Source organism: Homo sapiens, chromosome 2 (assembly GCF_000001405.40).
Source record: "Homo sapiens chromosome 2, GRCh38.p14 Primary Assembly".
Lineage (NCBI taxonomy): Eukaryota > Metazoa > Chordata > Mammalia > Primates > Hominidae > Homo > Homo sapiens.
In genome coordinates, this window is record NC_000002.12 from 179,878,995 (window position 1) to 179,881,004 (window position 2,010).

The following is a 2,010-nucleotide window of genomic DNA, read 5'->3' on the forward strand; positions in this document are numbered from 1 at the left end:
AGGCATGAGCCACCGCATCCGGCCACCAAGTATATTTTAAGGATTCCTGAGGAAAATAGAAGCAAAGTACAGTTTTCTTAAACAAAACTTATATCTAATTGGCCAGTGAAAAGATAATGGTTGACTTTAAAATGGTTTTACATAACTAACATTTTCTAAGGTTTACTCTAAGAGAAGAAAAGAGAAATGACACTGCATAAGATCACAGAATAAAAGACTTGTGTCATTGCGGTTCTGTTCTTGGAAATTAATAGGTTCCAAAATCAAGCCAGATGATTAATACCAGCTTTCGTTTGATCTATAAGCCACAATGATGGGCACAGCATGCCCCTGACTTTGTCTGGCATTGTGATTTAATGAAAAGAGAAAGCTTAGAAGAAAACAATGAAGGAAAAGAAACACAAACCCTTCTGTATTGGATCAGAAACTTCTTGATTGATGTACCCAGCTTCTGATTTCTAAATCTTGATCAGCTTTGGTTATGTGGATATTTTCTTTCCAAGATAGCAGGATAAAAGGTGTTAGGTTTTTAGAACACAAGTGACAATTTTATAGAAGGAAAGTGATGTATAGCTTCATATTTTCTAAAGGAAATGCCATTTGCAAAGATATAAATAATAATGCTGCGGAGATTGGGGGAAAGTAGATGTGCTAATTGTGGGTGTACTTTTATGATAAAATCACCATGAAATTTTGGTTAAAAAATATCAGTTTTGCAAGACTGTTTGTAAGGCTGGGTTAGATGATGGCTAAGGCTACAGAATACACTAGTTTGAGTAAATGTACCAACCACAATGTATCAGGGCTCAAGGTCTGATGGAGATGAGACTGAAAAATCTGAAAAATTAACCTTCAGTGGTCTCTTGTCATAGTATGTCTCATTAACCCAAAGCAGTGGATTCAGACCTGGAAGTTATATACCACTGGGGTTGTGATCACTTTGTGGACGTGAAAGATGGAATATCCAAACCTTTATGTTAAAGGTTAAAACCACTGTGGAAACCAGGACCTGTTGGGAAACCACCCTGGAATCACTCCCACTGTCTGTCTTAAGATTCTTACCCTTGTCACTTACCACAGCTCAGAAAATTGCTCCAAATGATTTGATGGTTTACACCCATCAAATCTGCTGAACTTTTATTTCCACCTCTCACTCACTCCTCGCATGGCCCCCGCCTTCATGCTGCACCCTGGGCACTTCAGTCTGAGCCTGATCCAAGGTGATTTGTCTGTCCTGCCTAATTGTGCTTCCAGAGATTTTTTCAGAGACCGCAGTTTCTTCCCTACTCTGTATAGCTCCTCTCCAAGGAATTTCTTAAATCAAAACAAATGAGGATGTATTTTACCAAGGACTTCTCTATCCTTTGATGAGATATTCACATCTGCCTCAATGGCTGTTCTTAGCATGTTTTTGTATTTTTTTCATTCACTCATTCTTTTTCATATTTACTGAGTATCTGCTATATGCTCTAGGTTTCCTCTCAGAGTTAAAGACATAATCCACATTCTCTGGCAGAATTTAACCTGGTGAGACAAACAGCCAACCTAAAGATTATGGTATGTGAGTAACAAGTGCTTTGATAGGTATAGACAGAGGGGCTATGGGACCACTTAAACCAGCCTGCCTGATTAGCAGATTTAAAGGTCATGTAGTACTCTTTTTATAAGCAAGTTTTATCCCCAGATCTCTTGGTATGATTCAATCAAGACTATTGATTGATCGTCTACAATGAGCCAGACAGTGTTCTATGTGTTATTAGTTTAGTATTGAACAAAACATTCATGCCTACATGGAGTTTACATTCTAGTGGAGCAAAGTTCTACAAGATAACACATGAATAAGTGAAATATAGAACAGAGAAAATAATGATATGTGCTAAAGAAAAAATAAATCAGGGAAGAGGAATATAAAATGTAAGAGAAACTTCAACATACGAGGACATCCAGGGAAGAACTCCCTCAGCAAGTGACTTCTGTGTCATTATTTGTTGAAAGATGTGAATGAGCTGT